General features: G+C 49.0%; 1 protein-coding gene across 7 annotated transcripts in view, besides 6 other annotated features; it reads left to right on the forward strand.

Annotated features, from left to right (window-relative positions):
• Positions 11,750 to 12,435: an enhancer, noted in NCBI's record as "H3K27ac-H3K4me1 hESC enhancer chr20:49406827-49407512 (GRCh37/hg19 assembly coordinates)". NCBI's record gives its function as "activates a minimal SCP1, AML or CMV promoter by ChIP-STARR-seq in primed H9 embryonic stem cells {active_cell/tissue: H9 hESC(primed)}" and the evidence as "EXISTENCE:reporter gene assay evidence [ECO:0000049][PMID:30033119]".
• Positions 16,254 to 17,073: a silencer, noted in NCBI's record as "silent region_13026". NCBI's record gives its function as "represses an Ori minimal core promoter by ATAC-STARR-seq in GM12878 lymphoblastoid cells {active_cell/tissue: GM12878}" and the evidence as "EXISTENCE:reporter gene assay evidence [ECO:0000049][PMID:35858748]".
• BCAS4 (breast carcinoma amplified sequence 4) overlaps positions 16,354 to 23,842 on the forward strand; it is an 87,783-nt gene continuing 80,294 nt past the window's right edge. For 6 of the 7 annotated variants that reach the window (XM_011528887.3, XM_011528886.3, NM_017843.4 and 3 more), the window contains exon 1: positions 16,354 to 16,633. In XM_011528887.3, coding sequence (XP_011527189.1) covers positions 16,454 to 16,633 — 180 coding nt within the window. In that variant the 5' untranslated portion in view covers positions 16,354 to 16,453. The remainder of the gene's footprint in view (positions 16,634 to 23,842) is intronic. The other variant, NM_198799.4, reaches the window with a different exon arrangement.
• Positions 20,371 to 20,450: an enhancer, noted in NCBI's record as "active region_18095". NCBI's record gives its function as "activates an Ori minimal core promoter by ATAC-STARR-seq in GM12878 lymphoblastoid cells {active_cell/tissue: GM12878}" and the evidence as "EXISTENCE:reporter gene assay evidence [ECO:0000049][PMID:35858748]".
• Positions 20,951 to 21,060: an enhancer, noted in NCBI's record as "active region_18096". NCBI's record gives its function as "activates an Ori minimal core promoter by ATAC-STARR-seq in GM12878 lymphoblastoid cells {active_cell/tissue: GM12878}" and the evidence as "EXISTENCE:reporter gene assay evidence [ECO:0000049][PMID:35858748]".
• Positions 21,081 to 21,140: an enhancer, noted in NCBI's record as "active region_18097". NCBI's record gives its function as "activates an Ori minimal core promoter by ATAC-STARR-seq in GM12878 lymphoblastoid cells {active_cell/tissue: GM12878}" and the evidence as "EXISTENCE:reporter gene assay evidence [ECO:0000049][PMID:35858748]".
• Positions 21,681 to 21,790: an enhancer, noted in NCBI's record as "active region_18098". NCBI's record gives its function as "activates an Ori minimal core promoter by ATAC-STARR-seq in GM12878 lymphoblastoid cells {active_cell/tissue: GM12878}" and the evidence as "EXISTENCE:reporter gene assay evidence [ECO:0000049][PMID:35858748]".

Genomic DNA, 23,842 nt, shown 5'->3' on the forward strand with positions numbered 1-23,842 from the left:
GTTTGTTTTTGTTTTTTTTTATGAGATGGACTCTTGCTCTGTCACCCAGGCTGGAGTGCAGTGGCACGATCTTGGCTCACTGCAAGCTCCACCTCCCCCGGTTCACGCCATTCTCCTGCCTCAGCCTCCCAAGTGGCTGGGACTACAGGCGCCCACCACCACGCCCGGCTAATTTTTGTATTTTTAGTAGAGACGGGGTTTCGCAGTGTTAGCCAGGATGGTCTCGATCTCCTGACCTCGTGATCCGCCCACCTTGGCCTTCCAAAGTGCTGGGATTACAGGCATGAGCCACCACACCCGGCCACTCATGTAGGTTTTTAAGGATATAAATTTTCGTCTGAGGACATTTTTATTTGAACCCCGCAGGTTCTATATGTTGTTTTTATTATTTTTATTTAATGTGCTGCAACTTTTTTTTGTGCTTGCTCTTTGCTGTAAGAGCTGTTTAAGAAAGTCTTGGTCAGGAGGGGTGGCTCATGCGTGTAATCCCAGCACTTTGGGAGGCCGAGGTGGGAGGATTGCTTGAGGCCAGGAGTTCGAAACCAGCCTGGTCAACATAGCAAAACCCTGTCTCTGCAAAAGAAAAACTTTAAAATTAGCTGGGCATGGTGGCGCATGCCTGTAGTCCCAGCTACCTGGGAGGCTGAGGTGGGAGGATCACTTAAGTCCCGGAGGACGAAGCTGCACTGAGCCGTGATCACACCACTGCACTCAGCCTAGGCGACAGAGGGAGACCCTGTCTTAAAAAGCAAGAAAAGAAGAAAGTCCATTATTAAGGTCTTTTAATAACTGCCCTGTGTCATTGCTTTGTGATTACAGAGTGCTGTCTGTGCTATTTTCATTCTGTGGAATTTTCCTCCAAATAGCTCACTATGGGGTCAGTATTTATGACTGTTCCATTGGTACTGGAGAGGCAGAGTATGTTGTATATTTTCAGGGTTCTCAGCTTAAAATATTTGTAGAATTCTGATCTTTTGCATTCTTACTTATTTCTGTCCACTTCATCTGTCATGATATGAGAGGGGTAATTATTATAATTTTGTGATTTCAATTACTATTATTCAAAACTTTGCTGGCTAATCTTGACAGCTAAGTTCACTAAACATAAGATGCAAGTTGAGCTCAAAAATGTTAAAATGTAGGGGAAGGAAAGTGTCTTCGAATCAATAGGATAATGCATGTTTGTTTCAGCAAATCAACTGTGGGATGTTTTTACATTTTACAAGAAAAATCCCACTGCAGGTCTAGTTTGTGATTTTGTTAAATTTGTAGATTTTTTTCTTTTTTTTTTTTTTGAGACAGTCTCACTCTGTCGCCTATGGTGGCTCACACCTGTAATCCCAGCATTTTGGGGAGGCCAAGGCAGGAGAAGCCTGGAGTGCAGTGGTGTGATCTCAGCTCACTGCAACCTCCACCTCCTGAGTTCAAGCGATTCTCCTGCTTCAACCTCCCGAGTAACTGGGATTACAGGTGCCCACCACCATGCCTGGCTAATTTTTGTATTTTTAGTAGAGATGGGGTTTCACCATGTTGGCCAGGCTGGTCTCGAACTCTCGACCTCAAGTAATCCTCCCACCTCAGCCTCCCAAAGTGCTGGGATTACAGGCGTGAACCACTGCCCCGGGCTAAATTTGTAGATTCTTTTGGGGAATAGCTGGTAGCTTTATGAAGTGGAGCCTTCTCTTCAGCAAATATGGTGTTTCCCCATTTCTTTCCTTCTTCTTTTATGTTCCTTCATAGTTTTACGGTTTTCTTCTTCAGGCTCCTATACGTTTCCTGTTAGGAATATTTCTAGGGATTGGTCTTTGTTCTCCTATGAAGGGGGTATTTTTACCACTATGTCCCCTAACTGGTTGTTGTTGGTTTATAGTAACTTCCCCTCCTGCTTCTTTTTTGTGTAAAGTTATTTAGTAAACAGCTCCCTCACTATTTCCAATTGGTTAACACTTCCAGAGGGATAAGACAATAGAGGATGCTTCCTTTTTACAAAAATGCCACCCATATTTCATAACGAAGAATAACTTTTTAAATAACAGATTAATTTTTGTCCTTGCAAAAGTAATATATATTCACTACACAGATTTATAAAATATAGAGGGATGCCGGGTGTGGTGGCTCACGCCTGTAATGTGCTTTGGGAGGCCAAGGCAGGTGGATCACTTGAGGTGAGGAGTTTGAGACCAGCCTGGCCAACATGGCAAAACCCCATCTCTACTAAAAATACAAAAATTAGCAGGGCATGATGGCCTGTGCCTGTAGTCCCAGCTACTCGGGAGGCTGAGGCTGAAGAATCGCTTGAACCCAGGAGGCGGAGGTTGCAGTGAACTGAGATTGCACCGTTGCACTCCAGCCTGGGGGACAAGAGTGGAACTCTGTCTGAAAACAAAACAAAACAAAATTAGCCAGACATGGTGGCGTGCACCTGTAATCACAGCTACTCAGGAGGCTGAGGCAGGAGAATCGCTTGAACCCAGGAGGCAGAGGTTGCAGTGAGCCAAGATTGTGACACTGCACTCTAGCCTAGGTGACAGAGTGAGACTCTGTCTCAAAAAAAAAAAAAAAAGGAATGAAGTACTGATACATGCCACAACATGGATGAACCTTGAGAACATGATAGTACGTGAAAGCAGTCAAACACAAAGGCCATAGAGTATATGATTTCATTTACATCAAAGTATCCAGAAGAGCCAAATCCATAGAGACATAAAGTAGATTAGTGGTTGCCTTGGAGGTGTAGGGGAATGGGAGGGTTGCAGAGTGATGATAAGTGGGGTTTCTTTTTGGGCGCATGAAAATGGTGGCTGCACAGCTCCACAAATTTACTAAATATACCATTGAAACGTATACTTTAAATAGGTGAATTGTATAGTATGTGAATTATATCTCAATAAAGCTGTTAAGAATGATTCACAAACTCTACTCATTCAAAATATGTCAACTCTACTCTGCCAGATGGTGAGAACACGGCCCTGAACAAGACCAAGGCCGTTCTTGTCTTCACAGGATGCTATTCTGGTGAACTTCCTCTGGAACTATATTCTATATCCTTACAAAGAAAATACTTGTCTTGAACTTCTGAGCTCAAGTAATCCGCCTGCCTTGGTCTCCCAAAGTGCTGGGATTACAGGCGTGAGCCACTGCACCCAGCCTAATTGACATTTCTTGAAGAATAGCAGTCTTCAGGTGATTGAACAAACCTGCCTATTCAGAATCTGCATTTTAACAAGATCCCCAGGCGATGTCATTCACCTGGTACATTCCTTTTTTAAAAGCTTTTTTCTTTTTGTTGTTTTTAGAGACAGGACTCATTATGTTGCCCACGCTGGCCTTGAACCTCTGGGCTCAAGAGATCTTCCCCACTCAGCCTCCAGAGTAGCAGGCGTGCACCATCATGCCCGGCTCATTGAAATTTGGGAAGCACAGATCTAGAGGTCAACCTTTTATCCAAAGCAGAAACCCTATGTGATTTCAATTGTCAAACTTTATGTCAACTCTCTATGCAAAGCACAAACCCCATCTGTACCATCCCTATGTATCAGGAACAGGCTGGGAAGTGACAATTGAACTCTGCTAGAATTGTCCCACCTGTCGGGACTCACTGTGTGGAGATCCCACCTGTCCACTTGCGTGTGTCTCACCTTTACTTTATTTTTAATTTTTATTTTTGAGATGGGATCTTACTCTGTCACCCAGGCTAGAGCGCAGTGGCGAAATTTCAGCTCACTGCAACCTCTGCCTCCTGAGTTCAAGCTATTGTCATGCCTCAGCCTCCCAAGTAGCTGGGATTACAGGCGCTCGCCACCTTGCCAGGCTACTTTTTGTATTTTTAGTAGAGACATGATTTTACCACGTTGGCCAGGCTGGTCTTGAACTCCTGACCTCCATTCACCTCAGCCCCTCAAAGTGCTGGGATTACAGGTGTGAGCCACCGCACCAAGCCTATTTTATTTTTATTTTTGAGACAGGGCCTTGCTCTGTCACCCAGGCTGGAGCGCAGTGCCATGGCGGCCATGAACGTAGCTCACTGCAGCCTCCATCTCCCTGGCTGAAACAATCCTCCCATTTCAGCCTCCCAAGTAGCTGGAACTACAGGTGCACACCGCCATGCCTGGCTACTTTTTTTTTTTTTTTAATTTTTAGTAGAGATAAGGACTCTTGAGCTCAAGAGTGTCGAACTCCTGAGCTCAAGGAATCCTCCCACCTCGGCCTCCTTTGGGATTGCAAACGTGAGCCACTGCACCTTGCCATTTCACCTCTAGACACCCTTTTCCTTATTTCCAGGTAAAGTCAGCTTCCCTTTGGCAGTGCCTCTGTATTTGTTTTCTACTGCTGCCTGACAAATCACCACAGACTTAGCAGCTTAAAACAACACACATCGGCCGGGTGTGGTGGTTCATGCCTGTAATCCCAGTACTTTAGGAGGCCGAGACAAGTGGATCACCTGAGGTCAGGAGTTTGAGACCAGCCTGGCCAACATGGTGAAACCGCATCTCTACTAAAAATACAAAAAAAATTAGCCAGGCATGGTGGTGGGCACCTGTAATCCCAGTTACTCAGGAGGTTGAGGCAGGAGAATCGCTTGAACCCAGGAGGCGGAGGTTGCAGTGAGCCAAGATCACGCCATTGCACTCCAGCCTGGGCAACAAGAGCGAAACTCCATCTCAAAAAAAAAAAAAAAAAAAAACAAGCAAACAAACAAAAAACGACACACATGTTATCTCGGTTTCCCTGGGTCAGGGGTCTTGGAACGGGTTACCTGGATCCTTGGCGCAGGGTCTCACAAGGCTGCCATCAGGGTGTTGGCTGGGGCTGTCTGAGGCTCCAGGCCTCTTCCAAGTGCATTCAGGTAGTTGACAGAACTTAGTTCCTGCAGCTGTAGGTCTAGGGACCTCAGCTCCTGGAGGCACCTGTAGCTCCCTGCCACATGGACCCCAAGGGCAGGCCACAGCCATGAATGCTCACTTTCTTCCAGGCCAGCAAAGGCCTGTTTCTCTGCCTTCCTCCACCTCTAAACCCTCCTTTAAGGGCTTGTCTGATTAGGTCAGACCCACCCAGGATCATCTGTTTTTTTTGTTTTGTTTTTGTGTTTGTTTTTTTGAGACAGTCTCACCATGTCACCCAGGCTGGAGTGCAATAGCGCAGTCATGGTTCACTGCAGCCTCAACCTCCTGGGCTCAAGCAATCCGCCCACCTCAGCCTCTCAAGTAGCTGGGACTACAGGCATGCACCACCACACCTGGCTAATTTTTGTCATTTTTTGTAGAGACACGGTTTCACCATGTTTCCCAGGCTGGTCTTGAACTCCTGAACTCAAGCGATCCTCCTGTCTCTGCCTCTCAAAGTGCTGGGATTACAGGCATGAGCCACAACACCCAGCCATAATCTCCCTTTTGAGTAACTCAAAATAAGCTCATCAGGAGTCTAATCTCAGGAGTGATATCCCACGTGTCCACTGATCCAGCCCACCCCGGAGGGGAGGGAGTTATACAGGGCATGTCCACCAAGGGGCAGGAATCTTGAGGGTCATTTTGGAATCCCACTTCCCTCAGCCCCTGTGTAGCACAGCACCAAGGGATGCCACTCAGATGGTCATCTATGTGAGTGGTGCGGCGACCAGCCTGCACAGCCAAGCCGGTGGTGCTTCTGTGGCTTTTGTCTCTCTGGATCAGTTGGACTTCTTTCCTTAGAAGCCTCATAGAATTCACTGAATCTTTCTTCCTCGTGACCTTCCTTCAGATCATTCAAGCTTTCTCCAGGCAAAACAGCTCCAGCTTCTTCAAACTGGCACCATGTGACATGACTTTAGTTTTAATTTTTCTCTTTTTAAAGTTTTTAAAAATAATAGAGACAAGGTGTCACTATATTGAGCAGGCTGGTCTTGAACTCCTGAGCTCAAGTGATCCTCCTGCCTTAGCTGCCCAAAGGGCTAGGAGTACAGGCATGAGCCACTGCACCCAGCCAACATGAGATGACTTTATATTCAGTTTCTCAACAGACCCAGATGCACAGTTGGTGATGATAAAATAAAAACTTCAGCTGAATTAAATTTAAGAGAGTTTAATTGAGCAATGAACAATTTGTGAATCGGGAGCCTCTCAAGCCGGAGTAGGCTCAGAGACTCCAGCACAACCACATGGTGGAAGATTTATGGACAGGAAAAGGGAAGTGACTTACAGAAAATGGAAGTGATGGCCAGGAGTGGTGGTTCACTCCTGTAATCCCAGCACTTTGGGAGGCCGAGGCGGATGGATTGCTTGAGGCCAGAAGTTTGAGACCAGCCTGGCCAACATGGTGAAACCCCTGTCTCTACTAAAAATACAAAAATTAGCCGGGCGTGGTGGTGCACGCCTGTAATCTCAGCTATTCAGGAGGCTGAGGCATGAGAATCACTTGAACCCGGGAGGCGGAGGTTGCGGTGAGCCGAGATTGCACCTCTGCACTCCAGCTTCAGTGACAGAGCAAGACCCTGTCTCAAAAAAAAAAAAAAAAAAAAAAGAAAATGGAAGTGAGGTACAGAAACAATCAGATTGGTTACAGCTCAGCGTTTGCCTTATTTGAACATGGTTCAAACAGTTGACTACATTTGATTGGCCAAAATTCGGTGATTGGCACAAGTGTAGACTACGGTCTGTTTATACCTCCACTTGTTTTGTTTTGTTTTGGTTTTTTGAGATGGAGTCTCACTCTATCACCAGGCTGGAGTGCAGTGCCTTGATCTCAGCTCACGGCAACCTCCTCCTCCCAGATTCAAGTGATTCTCGTGCCTTGGCCTCCCGAGTAGCTGGGACTACAGGCACCCGCCACCACGCCCAGCTAATTTTTGTATTTTTAGTAGAAATGGGGTTTCACCATGTTGGCCAGGCTGGTCTCGAACTCCTGACCTCAAGTGATCCTCCCTCCTTGGCCTCCTAAAGTGCTGGGATTACAGGCATGAGCCACCATGCCCACGCAACACCTCCATTTGTTATAGTTCACTGTGTACAGAGAAACCTTTAAGCCGAACTTAAAATATATAAGGAGGCAGTTTTAGGCTAATCTTGATTTAACAGTGACAAATACTTTGGCAGTGTCACCTGTTTTCTTATGTATCTATCCATCCTCTTTGCCCTTCCTTGAAAACATTCTAGTTTGTCAACATTTCACTTAAAATATAGTATTTATTGAGTGCTTACTCTTTGCCAGACACTGTTTGAAGCAGCATACATAATGAGATTGTTCTTATTGAATTTCTTTTTTTTTTTTTTTTTTTGAGACAGGGTCTCGCTCTGTCACCCGGGCTGGAGTGCTGGAGTGCAGTGGCATGATCTCCGCTCACTGCAACCTCTGCCTCCCGGGTTCAAGCAGTTCTCAAGCCTCAGTCTCTCGAGTAGCTGAGATTACAGGCACCTGCCACCATGCTTGGCTAATTTTTGTATTTTTAGAAGAGACAGGGTTTCTCCATGCTGGCCATGCTGGTCTCAAACTCCGGGCCTCAAGTGATCCACCTGCCTCAGCCTCCCAAAGTGCTAGGATTACAGGTGTGAGCCACCATGCCTGGCCTCATTAAATCTTTTTAGCAACCCTGTGAGTTGTATCATGCCATTTTACTGGAGAGGAAAGTCAGGCACAAAGAAGTTAAGTAACTCCACCAAGATCACACAGCTCATAGGTGGGGAGCCAAAATTTGAACCCAGGCAGTTTGAGTCTAGGACCTGTGCAGTTAGCCCCTATGCAATGCTCCCTCCCGAAGCCACTCTCTGTACCCAGAAGGGGCTGTCCTAGGACCAGGGATCATTCTTTCTTGGCCCCTCTGCTTTGCATTCTGTATTCTTCTTAGTAAACATCCTCATTCCCATTTGCTTTTTAGCAGCTATATTATTTCATTGCCTTAAATTGAACTCAGAGTCCCTTTAAAAGATCTGTGTTTGTCACGTGAACTACTGAAAACAAGGCTTCCCACATCCTCATTAAGGTAAATGCAATAAAAAAAGTTTTTTTTTTTGGCTAAATTTTTTAATGTGGTTGCTTTTGGTCATTGTTTCAACCAGAGGCCCAGCTCAGCTTTTTATGTTATTGATATGGCGGCAGATTTCACATAGAGCAGCATCTCATTTACAAAGAACACAGAATGCCATGCCATGGACTCCAGAGATGGAAAAGTCCTTTGAGGCTGGGCACGGTGGGTCATGCCTGTAATCCCAACACTTTGGGAGGCTGCAGTGGGAGAATGGCTTGAGCTCAGGAGTTTGAGACCGGCCCGGGCAACATGGTGAAACCGTGTTTCTAACAAAAATTACCTGGGCGTGGTGGTGTGCGCCTGTAGTCCCACCTGCCTGGGAGGCTGAGGTGGAAGGATTGGTTGAGGCTGGGATGTCTAGGCTGCAGTGAGCCGAAATCAGTGCCACTGAACTCCAGTCTGGGCCACAGAGAGTGAGACCATGTCAAGGCAAGAAAAGAAAAGGTCGGGCACAGTGGCTCATGCCTATAATCCCAGCACTTTGGGAGGCCGAGGTGGGTGGATTGCCTGAGCTCAGGAGTTCTAGACTAGCCTGGGCAACACGGTGAAACCCTGTCTCTACTAAAATACAAAAAAAATTAGCCGGGCGTGGTGGCGTGCACCTGTAGTCCCAGCTATTTGGGAGGCTGGGGCAGGAGAATCACTTGAATGTGGGAGGCAGAGGTTGCAGTGAGCTGAGATTGTGCCATTGCACTCCAACCTGGGTGAAAGAGTGACTCCATCCCACAAAAAAAAAAAAAAAAAAAAATGAAAGGAAAGGAAAGGGAGAGAGGAAAGGTGTGGGTGGGGAGAGAGAGAGAGAAGAGGAGAAAGAGGAGAAAGAGAAAGAAGGAAAGAGAGAGAGAAGGAAAGAGAGAGAGAAGGAAAGAGAGAGAGAGGAAGAAAAGAGAGAAAGAAAGAAGTCTTTAGAATTTTAATGAAAGGCCAGGTGTGATGGCTGATGCCTGTAATCCCAGCACTTTGGGAGGCTGTGGTGGGAGGATGGCTTGAGCTTAGGAGTTCGAGACCAGCCTGGGCAACATGGTGAAACCCCGTTTCTACAAAAATTACCTGGGCATGGTGGTGCGTACCTGTAGTCCCAGCTACCTGGGACGCTCAGATGGGAGGATTGGTTGAGCCCAGGAAGTCGAGGTGGCAGTGAGCCGAAATCAGGGCCACTGCCCTCCAGCCTGGGCCACAGAGTGAGACCCTGTCAAGGCAAGAAAGTCAAGGCAGAGAGAAAGGAAAGAAGGAAGGAAGGGAGGGAGGGAGGGAGGGAAGGAAGGAAGGGAGGAGAGAGAAAGGGAGAAAGAAAAGAGAGAAAGAAATAAGTCCTTAGAATTTAATGAAAGGCCGGTTGCGGTGGCTCATGCCTGTAATTCCAGCACTTTTGGAGGCCTAGGCGGGTGGATCGCCTGAAGTCAGGAGCTTGAGACCAGTCTGGCCAACATGGTGAAACCCCGACTTATTTAAAAAAAAAAAAAAAAAGAAAAGAATCTTGCTGAAAGAAGAGAGAAAGAAGTTCTTAGAATCTTAATGAACAAAAACTCAAGTTTCTGAAACAAGAAAACAAATGTCTCAAATAGTCTAAAGAATACGGTTTTTTACTAGGGTGTTTAGCAATTTTCTTGCAGATTCTGATCTATCTCTATGTGATATAATAGGTGCAAAGCTCAACTGCTCCACTCAGCGGTTATGTGTGGGGGCCTCATTTTCTCCAGCTGTGGGATTGGGAAGCAAGTCGATTCCTTTTTTATAATTTTGAAATCCAGGAAACGCCAAAACCGTTAGCTTTCTTTCCCATCAGTTTGGCAGAAATTCACTGAGGTGAAGAGACGGGAGGTTATTTAAGGCCTCTATTTAGCTCATTTAAGGTGAATATCCACACACTTTGCTGAGAAATACGATCAGATAAGAGGATGCTGCCCCAGCTCCCATGGGACTTGTATGTGCTTTGTATTAGCCTTCTACAATCCACAGAGCTCAGATTCTGAAACACGTCTGGCCCTAGCGGTTTTGGATGAGGGGTAACACCTGTAACACCCAGAGGTGGCTGAGAGCAGTGAATGAGAATCCACGGACAGCACTGAAATTCACACCTTGGGGAACCTCTGATGTCCCTGTATCTGGCCAGTAGTTTCTGCCACTTACTGTTTAGATAGACGCAGAGAAAACAAGTAGGGACACAATTTCGGTAGCTGGAAGGGAGAACATTCCTTCGCCCTCCAACTAAGTGACTCTCCTCTCGCTTCTCAAGGCCAAGGAAGCTCTGCCGTAAGGCTAAACGCGACACTCAGGGAGCATTTGGAATCTTGCCCTGTGGCCTCTTGCCTCTAAAGCTGCAAGACCCTTTATGTGGCTCTGCTGTGGAAGGGAAAGGAGTAGAGAAAAACTACTCAAATGACTGCAGAGATGTAGAAGCTTTCCTTATCAGGGAGAGAATGGGAAGCTGCGATTGCTGTTTCCTGTTACTGTAGTGAACATTTCAAAATTATGACATAAAAATGGTTTTTGTTTCTTTTTTTGAGATGGCGGTCTCGCTCTCTCACCCAGGATGGAATGCAGTAGTGTGATCACGGCTCACTGCAGCCTCAATGTCCCAGGCTCAAGTGATCCTCCTGCCTCAGCCTCCTGAGTACCTGGAACTACAGGTGCATGACACCATACCTGGCTAATTTTTGTAATTTTTGTGGAGATGGGGTTTCACCATGTTGGCCAGGCTGGTCTTGAACTCTTGAGCTCAAGTGACCTACCCACCTTGGGTGGCCAAAAATGTTCGTTTATGTATTTATTTATTTTTGAGATGAAGTCTCGCTCTTGTCCCCCAGGCTGGAGTGCAATGGCGCGATCTTGGTTCACGGCAACCTCCACCTCCCTGGTTCAAGCGATTCTCTTGCCTCAGCCTCCCCAGTAGCTGGGATTACAGGCGCCTGCCACCATGCCCGGCTAATTTTTATATTTTTAGTAGAGATGGGGTTTCACCATCTTGGCCAGGCTGGTCTGGAACTCTTGACCTCAGGTGATCCGCCCGCCTCAGCCTCCCAAAGTGCTGGGATTACAGGCGTGAGCCACTGTGCCTGGCCCAAAAATGTTTTTTAATATCTGGGTTTTTATTGTTGGTGGTGGTGTTGGGGTGTTTGTTTGTTTGTTTGAGACAGCATCTTACTCTCTTGGCCAGACTGGAGTGCAGTGGCACAATCTCGGCTCATCGCAACCTCTGCCTCCGAGGTTCAAGAGATTCTCCTGCCTCAGCCTCCTGAGTAGCTGGGATTACAGGAGCAAGCACCACCAAGCCCAGCTAATTTTTGTATTTTTACTGGAGACGGGGTTTCACCATGTTGGCCAGGCTGGTCTCGAATTCTTGACCTCAAGCAATCCACCCGCCTCAGTCTCCCAAAGTGTTGGGATTACAGGCATGAGCCACCGCACCCAGCCAATACCTGTTTTTAAACTATGCTTCTATGTAGATGGGTTGTGCTTGAAATTATTTCACTAGTGGGGAAACACACTAAGTAGGAGAGCGACTTCACATTTTATTTATTTTTTCAGAGAGAGGTGCCCAGGCTGGTCTCAAACTCCTGGTCCCAAGCGATTCTTCCCCCTCAGCCTCCCACAGTGTTGGGATTACAGGTGTGAGCCACCGCCTGTCACGTGTTCTTTAGACAGTGGTGATTGTCCCAGGACCTACTTGCCTCACAGGGTGTGGTGGGGATCCAGTGAGGGCATCTATGCAAAGAGCTTAGAACAGTGCCTGGCACATAGTAAGGGCTCAGGACACATTAACAACGAATATGGTTTTAGAGATCGGGGTCCCAGACAAAGCTATGCCAGTGCTGAAACACTGTCGATCGGAACCACCTAGGAGCACCTTTTAAAACTCTCAAAGCCAAGGCCACACCCCACACCATAAATTAAGTCACAGCCTCTGGGGGTGGGGTCTGAGCATCAGTATTTTCTGGAAGTTTCCCAGGAGTTTTCAATATGCAGCCACGTTTGGGAACTGTCTGGTCTAGAACTTTGTGTGCCTGAGGCCTGCGCTGGGAGAACTGACTTTAAAAAGACACAGACAGGCAGTCATTTTGTAGCTAGAGGTGAAGCAGATGGCGTGGGGGCAGAAGGGTGTGGGACCTGGGACCCAGCAGGGGGCTACGGCTCCCACGGGCCTTCGAGCCTGGCAACCACTGGCACCCCCACTCCCCCCAGGCTGGGATGGAGCCACTGTCTGCACCCGAGGAGGCCTCCAGAGCAGGAGGCGGGAGCAGCAGCTCTGAGCCCGGCTTGGGCACCAGAGGGAGCTCGTGGGGACGCGCCACGGCTCCATCCCTGCAGCTGGTTCAAACTGGTTTGGGCAGGGTGCGGCCTGGGCGGGCTGCATTCCAGGCCTCAGGCTCGCGGCTGTCCGGGGCCTCCCCAAGGGCTGCGGACCTAGGGCAGGGAGCAGCAGGGGCAGGGCCCCCGGGCAGGAGCCCAGCACCCTGAGAGGCTGGGGAGATGTTTAAAAACTCAGTCCTCTTTGTGTAAAATCATTTACTTGGCCTCCCATGGGGGTCCCTGACTAAGGCTGGCAGCGCGGCGGAGCCCCTGGATAGGGTTATTCCCAGACATCAGTGTGCATTAGAATCGAAGCAGAGCTTGTTAAATGCGGAGGCCCAGTGCCCCCTCTCACCAAAGATCCTGATTCAGAACGTCTGGGGTGGGCTTCTGGGCATCCATATTTTTAGCAAAATATTTCTAAGGTACAATCACATATTCAGAAAAAAAGGCTAGAAACAAAATGATTGTCAACCAGCCAACCTGGCCCAGGGTATGAATCGCTGGGACACTTGTGAAGGACACAGAGACCCCTTCCCCAGACCTCCTCTTTCCCCAGGGAAGAGGATTTGGGTAATCAGCACTTTTAGCTAATATCCCAGGCTTTTTTTTTTTTTTTCATATGGGCAATTTCCTTTTTCTTTTTTTATTTTATTTTTTTGAGACAGGGCCTGGCTCTGTCACCGAGGCTACAGTGCAGTGGAATGATCTCGGCTTACTGCAGCCTTGACCTCTAGGCTCAAGTGGTCCTCTCACCTCAGCCTCCCGAGTAGCTGGGACCACAGGCGTGTGCCACCACTCCTGTCTAACTTTTGTATATTTTGTAGATACAGGAGTTTCGCCCTGTTGGCCAGGCTGGCCTCAAACTCCTGGCCTCATGTGATCCGACCGCCTCGGCCTCCCACTCCCAAAGTGCTGGGATTACAGGCGTGAGCCACCATGCCAGCCTGGCTTTTTTTTTTTTTTTTTAAATGAGTCATTTTAGACATTCATACAGTTTTGGTATTGCTACAAACATCAGCCGAAGAAATAAAACATTCCGAATATTGAAATCCCTCTCAGCCGAACACCTGACGTCAGGAGTTCAAGACCAGCCTGGCCAACATGGCAAAACCCCGTCTCTCCTAAAAACACAAAAATTAGTCAGGCGTAGCTGGGTGCGGTGGCTCATGCCTGTAATCCCAGCACTTTGGGAGGCTGAGGCGGGCAGATCACCTGAGGTCGGGAGTTCGAGACCGGCCTGGCCAACATGGTGAAACCCCGTCTCTACTAAAAATGCAAAAATTAGCCAGGCGTGGTGGTGGGCACCTGTAATTCCAGCTACTTGGGAGGCTGAGGCAGGAGAATCACTTGAACCCTGGAGAAGGAGGTTGCAGTGAGCCGAGATTGCGCCACTGCACACCAGCCCGGGCTACAGAGACTCCGTCTCAAAAAAAAAAAAAATATTAGGCGTAGTGGCATGTGCTTGTAATCCCAGCTACTTAGGAGGCTGAGGCAGGAGGATCACTTGAACCTGGAAGGTAGAGGTTGCAGTGAGCTGAGATCGTGCCACTGCACTCCAGCCTGGGCGACAGAGCGAGACTCTGTCTCAAAAAATATATATATATTAAATCCCTCTTGGGCTGGGTGCAGTGCCTCACTCCTGTAATCCCAGCACTTTGGGAGGCCGAGACTGGTGGGTCACTTGAAACCAGGAATTGGAGACTGGCCTGGCCAACATGTTGAAACCCTGTCTCTACTAAAAATACAAAAATTAGCCAGGCTTGGTGGTGCTTGTTCCTGTAATCCCAGCTACTGGGGAGGCTGAGGTAGGAGAATCGCTTGAACCCGGGAGGCAGAGCTTGCAGTGAGCCGAGATTGTGCCACTGCACTCCAGCCTGGGCAACAAAGCAAGACTCTGTCAAAAAACAAAAAAAAGAAAGAAAGAAAGAAAAGAAAAAGAAATCCCTCCCTCCCATACCCCTCTCCAGTTTCTTCTCCCCCGCCCTAAAGTAACCACTTTTGGAACATGGGGTACGTCGTTCCCATGCACAGCTTTGTACTTTTGCTCCATCTGTCGGTGTCCATAAACAATATACAGTGTGGTTCTGCGTGTTTTAAAAACTGTGCTAATGGCACAGTGCCCTACAGAGCCTTCTGCAACACGACTTTTCTTCCTTAGCTTTATGTTTCTGAGATTTATCCACCAGGAGAAGTTTGCTGTGCTCAGGTCAATTTGGTGATCTGAGGCCAGTCCTGGGCTCTTTGTGGGAGATGCCTAGCCAGCAGGCAAGGGCAAGGGTCTGAGACCGGCTCCCAGGGGATGGCGAGGAGGGCTCAGAGCATCAGGGAAATCATGACAATGACGAATGGCCGAGTGTGGGCTCAGTGAGTTCCTATAAAACCCTTAAGCACTTGAGGCCCAAGTCTTTGCCAAGAATTTTCCAGAAAATGACTGGCCTGAAGGCCTGGATATTTGGATAGGGAGAAATTAGCAGTGGACAGATTTGGAAGTGGGAATTGTGCAGTGATGGACTACACAAAAGGCAGGTCAAACATGTGTTGTTTAGGCCCCTACCTAGGGTGGCCAACTACAATATAAATTCAGATTTAATGGAGAGGAAGGTGTGGGACGTCCTATATATTTATTTGCACCCTTGATACCAGCCCCTCCTTTTTAAAAAACAACAACAACAACAAAAGACAGAGTTTCACTGTGTCACACAGGCTGGAGTGCAGTGGTGCGATCATAACTCGCGGTAGCCTTGAACTCCTGGCCTCAAACAATCCTCCTGCATCTGCCTCTCCAGTAGCTAGGACTACAGTTGTGCCCCACCACATCCTGCAATTTTAATTTTTTTTTTTCTTTTAGAGAGATGGAGTCTCCTTATGTTTGCCCAAGCAGCTCAGCCTTTTTTTTTTTTTTTTTTTGTGAGGCGATTTAACATTTAAAGAAAAGTCAGCAGGCAGGGGGCGCTGGCCCACGCCTGTAATCCTAGCACTTTGGGAGGCCGAGGCAGGTGGCTCACCTGAGGTCAGGAGTTCGAGAGCAGCCTGGCCAACATGGCGAAACCCCGTCTCTACTAAAAAATACAAAAATTAGAATTAGTCGGGCGTGGTGACAGGCGCCTGTAATCCCAGCTACTCGGGAGGCTGAGGGAGGGGGAGAATTGCTTGAACCCGGAATGTGGAAGTTACAGTGAGCCGAAATCGCACCACTGCACTCCAGCCTGGGCGACAGAGCGAGACTCCGTCTCCAAAAAAAAAAAATTAATTAATTAAAAATAAAAATAAGTCATCAAACGAAAAATCAAAACTTCAGACTTGTCTTATACCTATTTGCCTTTTAGTACTTTCCTCATTAGCACTGTTGGGGTGGGAGATGAGGCGCACCTCGCTCTCTTCAGCCCCAAGGCTTGTAAAGGGTCTATCTAGGCCGGCCTCCGAGGGCATGGAGGGAGTGGGTGCGGTTGTGAAATGTAGTGCGCTCAATAGTTTCCTGGTGAAGTTTATTTTAAAATCCGCACCGAAGAGGAAGACGAGGACCGTCACACTCGGCCTTCCCTAAATTCCAGGACCCTCCGCCCGATGCAAACTAGATGCTTTAGTAGGATGGGAACGGGTGGGGGGCGGGCGGCTTTGGGCTTCCTCTAAGCTAGCGCCTCTCTAACCCGGACGCCCGTTAGAATCACCCGGGGAGTTTTAGAAACTACCGATGCCCAAGCCCCACTCCGAAGGATTCCAACTTAATCGGCCTGGTGCGAGGCCTGGCTTCCGGGCTTTTAAAAGCTTCCCGGGGATTCTATTTTACGGCCGGGTCCGGGGCCGGGAGCCTGTACTCTACCGGGATTCCGATGGGGAGGGGTGGCTTGCCCCAATAGTTCTCAAATTTAGCTTTGGGTCAACAATCTGGTTGGAACCACCTAACAAACATCAAAAGATCCTGATGCCCAGGTCTTAACCCAGAGACGGTGTGGTCCAGGCTTGGGAAATTCTAAAAGAGCTCCAGGTGACTGCCATCTGCAAGCGAGTTTGCAAAGCACTGATGCCCAGGTGCTGCGGGGGCGGGCGCAGCGCGCGCCGCTCGCCACTGGGTGGCGCTGCCCGCTCGGCCCGGCGCTCCTGGAGCTGCGAGCCGCGACCGCCGGGAGCGCACCTGCCCCGCCTCCGCCAGGCGGTCCGCGGGGCATGCAGCGGACCGGGGGCGGGGCTCCGAGGCCCGGGCGCAACCACGGGCTCCCAGGCAGCCTCCGCCAGCCGGACCCCGTCGCCCTCCTGATGCTGCTCGTGGACGCTGATCAGCCGGAGCCCATGCGCAGCGGGGCGCGCGAGCTCGCGCTCTTCCTGACCCCCGAGCCTGGGGCCGAGGTAGGGGACGGGGCTGTGGAGTTGGAGGAGAGGGTTCTCGCGGTTAGGGGTCCGGGCTCCGGACCCTCGGCTTCCCCGGAGCATCCTCTCGCTCCCGGAGTGGGGGGCCCGGGGATTCCCCCCTTCCTGAAGGGTGGCTGCGGGGCGCCACGCAGAGATGTGCAGCGGGTCGTCCCTGCTCGCTCCTCCGGGCGACACCGGGCCCCGGAGGCCCAGGCTCGCTTTCCCTCCCCACCCGGGTCCCCCAGCATCCGCCGGGTCCTCAGGCGCCGCCCTTTGCCAGGCCGGCCCTGGGAGAGGCGGACCCCGGGACCTCTGCTGCCCCGGCTACCTCCGAGCGGTGCCCGGGCCGAGCGGCGCCTCAGGCTGCGGCTGTGCGGGCCGCGCTGCGCTGCTGCAGCTCGGAGCGAAAACACCACGCCTCTGTCTGCGCTTTCTATTTTAAAAGCACCAAGTGAAAAGCAGATCTAAAACGAGACCCTCTACCTTCCGGCTGGAGGCATCTGTCGACGCTGTTGTGAAAAAGTTATTTGTCTGAGTTCACTAGGAGTTATTTACGGTCAGAAATTCAACCCATTCTCTTTTTAAACCACAAAAGCAGTACAGGAGTATTTAACATAAAGGCTATGCACCCCTTTCTCTTTTCTCTCCCACCCCAATTCTAGTTTTCTTAGAAAACCAGCATTAACTGTTTGGTATAAATCATTCCGGACATTTAAAATGCATTTACAAATGTAGATATCTGTATCTGCCTAGGCAGAGTATTGGCTCATGCCAGTGGTCCCAGCATTCTGGGAGGCTGAGGCAGGAGGATTGCTTGGGATGGGGATAGGGGACGGGGAAGAGTGAGGCTGCAGTGAGGCTTGATCATGCCACTGCACTCCAGCCTGGGCGACAGAGTGAGACATTTAAAAAAAAATCTATCTCGCCAGGCCTGGTGGCTCACGCTTGTAATCCCAGCACTACTGGGAGGCCGAGACGGGTGGATCACCTGAGGTCAGGAGCTCGAGACCAGCCTGACCAACATGGTGAAACCCCGTCTCTACTAAAAATACAAAAATTAGCCGGGTGTGTAATCCCAGCTACTTGGGAGGCTGAGGCAGGAGGATCGCTTGAACCTGGGAGGCGGAGGCTGCAGTGAGCTGAGATCAGCCATTGCATTCCAGCCTGGGCAACAAGAGCAAAACTCCCTCTCAAAAAAAAAAACCATAAAATATCTTTCCATATATATATATATACATATATATGAGTTTTCTCTTTTTTCTTTTTCTTTTTCTCCATATATATATATATATATATATATATATATATATATTTTTTTTTTTTTTTTTTTTTTTTTTGAGATGGAGTCTTGCTCTGTCACCAGGCTGGAGTGCATTGGCATGATCTCAGCTCACTGCAACCTCCGCCTCCCAGGTTCAAGGAATTCTCCTGCCTCAGCCTCCCGAGTAGCTGGGACTACAGGCGTGTGCCACCATGCTCAGCTAATTTTTGTATTTTTCAGTAGAGACGGGGTTTCACCATGTTGGCCAGGATGATCTCTATCTCTTGACCTCGTGATCCACCCTCCTCGGCCTCCCAAAGTGTTGGGATTACAGGCGTAAGCCACAGCGCCCAGCCATCTCCACATATTTTTAAAATAATTTTTGAACAGACGTTTTTAATTTTTTTTTTTTTGACAGGGTTTCACTTTGTCACCCAGGCTGGAGTGCAGTGACACAATCATAGCTCAATGTAGCCTCAACCTCCTGGGCTCAAGTGATCCTCCCACCTCAGCCTCCCGCATAGCCAGGACCACAGGTGCGCACCACCATGTCAGGTTAACTTTTAAAACAAAGTTATTTTGTGGAGACGAGATCTCACTATGTTGCCCAGGCGGGTCTTGAATTCCTGGGCCCAAGAGATCCTTTGGCCTCAGCCTCCCAAAGTGCTGGGATTATAGGCATGTACCACCATGCCTGGCCCATCTATATTAGTTTTAAATGAAACCTCACTTGCTGCTGTAATACTGTCCTGCAACTTGCTTTTCTTTACTCAAAATAGCATGGAAAAATGTGTGGGGACTACTAATGGGAAGGTATGGGGCTTCGTTTTGGTGTAATGAACATGTTCTGGATGTTAGATAGTTGTGTTGGTTGCACAAATTTGTGAATATACTGAAAACTGCTGAATCGTACACTTTGAAAGGGTGAATTTTGTGGTTTGTGAATTATATCTCAATTTAAAAAAATAGCATGGAGGCAGGGTACAGTGGCTTATGCCTGTAATTCCAGCGACTTAGGAAGCTGAGGTGGGAGGATCACTTGAGACCAGGAGTTCAAGACCAGTCTGGGCAACGCAGGGAAACCCCTGTCTCTACAAAAAAATGTTAAAATATAAAAAATTAAAAATAACACGAACAAAAATTTAAAAATTAAAAATAACATGAGCATGTATCCATAAACACTGTCCAATAGAAATATAATTGGAGCTACAAATGTGAGCTACCTATGCAATTTTTTTTGTTTTTGAGACAGAGTTTCACTCTTGTTGCCCAGGCTGGAGTGCAATGGTGTGATCTCGGCTCACCGCAACCTCCACCTCCTGGGTTCAAACGATTCTCCTGCCTCAGCCTCCCGAGTAGCTGGGATTACAGGCATGCGCCACCACGCCCAGCGAATTTTGTATTTTTAGTAGAGACAGGGTTCCTCCATGTTGGTCAGGCTGGTCTCGAACTCCTAGCCTCAGGTGATCTGCCCGCCTCGGCCTCCCAAAGTGCTGGGATTACAGGTGTGAGCCACTGTGCGTGGCCACCTACGCAATTTTTAGTGTTCTAGGAGCCACATGAAAAAGAAACAGGTGGCCAGGCACCATGGCTCATACCTGTAATTCCAGCATTTTGGGAGGCCAGGGCAGGCGGATCACTTGAGGCCAGGAGTTTGAGACCAGCCTGGCCAACATGGTGGAACCCTGTCTCTACTAAACATACAAAAATTAGCCAGATGTGGTGGCATGAGCCTGTAATCCCAGCTACTTGGGAGGCTGAGGCATAAGAAACGCTTGAACCTGGGAGGTGGAGGTTGCAGTGAGCCGAGATCATGCCACTGCACTCCAGCCTGGGCAATAGAGTGAGACTCTGTCTCAAAACAAACAAACAAACAAAAAAAACCCAAAAGAATTAAAAAAGAAAAGAAACAGGTGAAATTAATTTCAATATATTTAAAATAACAGTATATCTGGGCCAGGAGCAATGGCTTACGCCTGTGGTCCCAGTACTTTGGGAGGCCAAGACTGGAGGATCACTTGAGCCCAAGGAGTTCAAGACCAGCCTGGGCAACATAGTGAGGCCCCCGTCTCTAGTTAATAAAAAAATAAAAATAAAAAGCATATCCAAAATATTTCAACATATGATCACTAGTACAAAGTTAATGAAATTTTACATTCTGTTCTTTGTCCTGAGTTTTCAAAATCAGGCTTTTGATACTGAACTTTCAGTCCATCTCAGCTTGGACTGGGCACATTTGAAGTGTTCAGTAGTCCCATGAGACGCGTGGCTGCCATGTTGGAGAGCCTAGGTCTCCGTCACCCTCTGCCTTCCTAGTGTCCCATGATGAAATAGTAATTGCTCCCATTCCTGAGCACATACTGTGTGGCACCAGTTTGCTAAACTGTGTTCATGGCTTATGTCATTGTGTCACGGCAGTGACCTGGTGACTGGGATGGTGTTATGTTGATTTTATAGGTCAGCAAACAGAGGCTCTCATGGCATAAATGACTTCATGTGGATGGACCGTAATTTATGAATCATTCATAAATGGTTCAGGGCTGGTGCGTTTTGCCAGGCAGGGTCCTGGGGGAGGCTCCACGCTCCCCAAGCATACTTTGGTCTAGTGTCCCAGGGACTCAGGCACAGACATTTAGGTTGTCTGCGACTTTTCACTGCCTTTAGCATCCTGAGTGCATTTCTTGTTCCTTCTCTCCCTTACTCTCAGCAGCGACATGTCATTGTGCCCAGTGGCTAAGCCCCAGCTTCATTTTGTCTCTATTAGGAATAGTCTTTAAGAGAAACTGCGTGTATTCATTTCATTTTCTCACTCAGGGCTGTCTTTAACTCAGTCACGGGTTTGCTTATGCTCATTTGTAAGGGATTTGTAATAAAGAGCCCCAACTCCCTGTAGCTCCATGCAGCCATAACCCACTGAAAGCACTTGTTGAAGTTTATTTACCAAAAGAAACAGAAACTGCGCCAGAGCAGAGTCACATGCAGCCTCCACTTTTAAAGCTTAATTCATTACCAGATCCCCAAGCTGGAACAGTTTCCAGGTGGGCACATGAGCAGGAAAAGGAAAACCTAGTTTGCGAACAGACCTGGACAGCAGCCTCCTCCCAACCAGCCTGTCTCCCGGGGGCACTTTTGCCGCTTCCATGGAGCAGCAGAAATCTCAGTCCAGCCAACCCCGGCCTTAGGGGGCCTGGGCCTCCCTGTGAAGTGGGGCCTGCTTCATTCAGCACCTTCAGCCTCGGTATGTGCCAAGTCTTTCCTGGAGCTGGGGACGCCACAGGCAGTGAGACACATGAGGCCCTTCCCCTGTGGCACTGCCAGACAATAAACACATAACAAGGCCAGACACAGTGGCTCACGCCTGTAATCCTAGCACTTTGGGAGGCTGAGGTGGGCGGATCCTTTGTACCCAGGAGTTCGAGACCAGCCTGGGCAACATGGCAAAATCCCGTCTCTACAAAAATTAGCTGGGCGTGGTGGTATGTGCCCCTGGTCCCAGCTACTAGAGAGGCCGAGATGGGAAGATCACCTGGGCTCTGGGAGGTGGAGGTTGCAGTGAGCTGAGATCGCATCACTGCACTCCAGCCTGGGCGACAGAGTGAGACCTATCTCAAAAAACAAAACAAAATGAAACCGTAACAAAACCTCTAAACTGTAATGAATGTTACAAAGCACAGACATGGGCGGATGTGAGATAGGGCACCTGTGTGTGCATAGAGACTCAGGAGGGTGAATAGAAGGTTATTGTCTGGGTGCAGTCATGGAGGTCTTCCCTGAGGCAGCATTGTCTTAGGATGAGCCCTGAGCCTGAGTAGGAGTTGGCTGGCTGAGGAGAAAAATATCCCAGGCAGAGAGAACAGTTCTTGCAAAAGCCCTGGGATGGGATGAAGCAGGGGGTTTTTGGGGGATGGAGAGAAGAGCAGCTGGTGGGAGGGGGAGCAGCAGGAGATGGGGCAAGTGAAGGGGCACAAGCTCTGCCTGGACTTCACACTGCTTTCCCCAGATGGAGGAGCTGCTGAGGGGCGGTGCCTTGAGCTGGGTTGGCAGGTGAGTTACTGTTTCCAGGGCCTCGGGTTTTCTGTTCAACTAGTTCCCTGCCACCCCTCTTTCTGGTTTGAACATCCCTTTTTTTTTTTTTTTTTTTTTGAGACAGCCTTGTTCTTGTCACCCAGGCTGGAGTGCAGTGGCGCAAACTCAGCTCACTGCAACCTCCGCCTCCTGGGTTCAAGCGATTCTCCTGCCTCAGCCTCCCAAGTAGCTAGGATTACAGGTATGCACTACCACGCCCGGCTAATTTTTGTAGTTTTAGTAGAGACAGAGTTTCGCCATGTTGGCCAGGCTGCTCTCGAACCTGTGACCTCAGGTGATCCACCTGCCTCGGCCTCCCAAAGTGTTAGGATTATAGGCATGAGCCACCGCGCCTGGCGAACTTTTGATTTTTCTATAGTCAGGATGAGAGAAAAGAGAAATATTTCTCCAAACTCTGTACCTGGACAAAAGTAGAAAAATGTAAATTAGCCAAAGATGGCCTTGAGTTTCAAGAAAAATGTGGGAGAGGAGTTTTCTTTGCAGAAGCTAAGAATGTTACATCCAACTTGCAAACACGGCACACCTGTGGGAAACTTCCTAACATGTCGCATCCTTTTGTGACCTGCTGGTCCCCTTTGGGCATTCAAGTTTGGGATGCTGGATTAGAAGTCTGTGATGGGGGGCCGGGCGCCATGGCTCATGCCTGTAATTCTAGCACTTTGGGAGGCCGAGGCGGGTGGATCATTTGAGGGCAGGAGTTCGAGACCAGGATGGCCAACATGGTGAAACCCTGTCTCTACTAAAAATACAAAATTAGTTGTGCGTAGTGGCAGGTGCCTGTAATCCCAGGTAGTTGTGTGGCTGAGGCAGGAGAATTGCTTGAACCCGGGAGGTGGAAGTTGCAGTGAGGCCGAGATTGTGCCACTGCACTCCAGCCTGGGTGACAAGAGTGAGACTCTGTCTCAAAAACAAAAAACAAAAAAGTCTCTTAGGGGGACTCCAGGGTATGGTCTACTGTCTCAAAGATGTAGTTCCAATATTTATTCCTTAAATTTTGTTTTGAGATGGGGTCTTGCTATGTTGCCCAGGCTGGTCTCGAATTCCTGGGCTCAAGCAATCTGCCCACCTCAGCCTCCCAAAGTGTTGGAATTACAGGCATGAGCCACCGCACCTGGCCTCTTCCTTAAATTGTATGGCAAACCTGCATTGTGCCATTCTGCTGTAGGCACTGGGCGAGACCAGCAAGACAGGCATGGTACCTGGTGTTGCAGGTGGGGAGGAAGCTAAGCAGACTAGTGACAAACAGAGTGACTAAATGCTGATAAATGCCACACAGGAGACACCTGAGGGGTGATAGGGACTGAGGGGAAGGAGGATGGGAAGGACCGGAGGGCAAAGATCTGACAGCAGATGCCCGGCCACAGGGGAAAGATGAGGGACCGGGAGGTGCCTGAGTGGAGGGACCTCAGTGACCACAGGGGTGTGGGGGGAGGTAGACAGGGCCACACCAGGGCCTGGGTCCCCAGGGGGGGAGTCTGAATTCTGTTCTAGGGTCATGCATGAAGGACAGGTTCTGATTTATCGACTTGTACTAGGTGTGGTAGCTCATGCCTGTAGTCCCAGCAGTTTGGGAGGCTGAGGTAAGAGGATCGCTTGAGTGCAGAAGTTTGAGGTTGCAGTGAGCTATGAGTGCCACTACACTCTAGCCTGGGTGACAGAGCAAGACCCTGTCTCAAAAATAATAAATGAAAAGATTCATGGCCACGTGGCTGCGGTGTTAGAATGTACTGGGGGGACCGCAGTGGCAGCAGGGAGACCAGAGACGGATGCTGCGCCATCCAGGTGGACAAGGACTGAGCTGGCCGCCTCCCTGCATCAGAACCTTCCGGGGCATGAGGAGCCAGGGGCAAGGCAGGTGC

The sequence above is a fragment of the Homo sapiens genome, chromosome 20 (genome assembly GCF_000001405.40).
Source record: "Homo sapiens chromosome 20, GRCh38.p14 Primary Assembly".
NCBI lineage: Eukaryota > Metazoa > Chordata > Mammalia > Primates > Hominidae > Homo > Homo sapiens.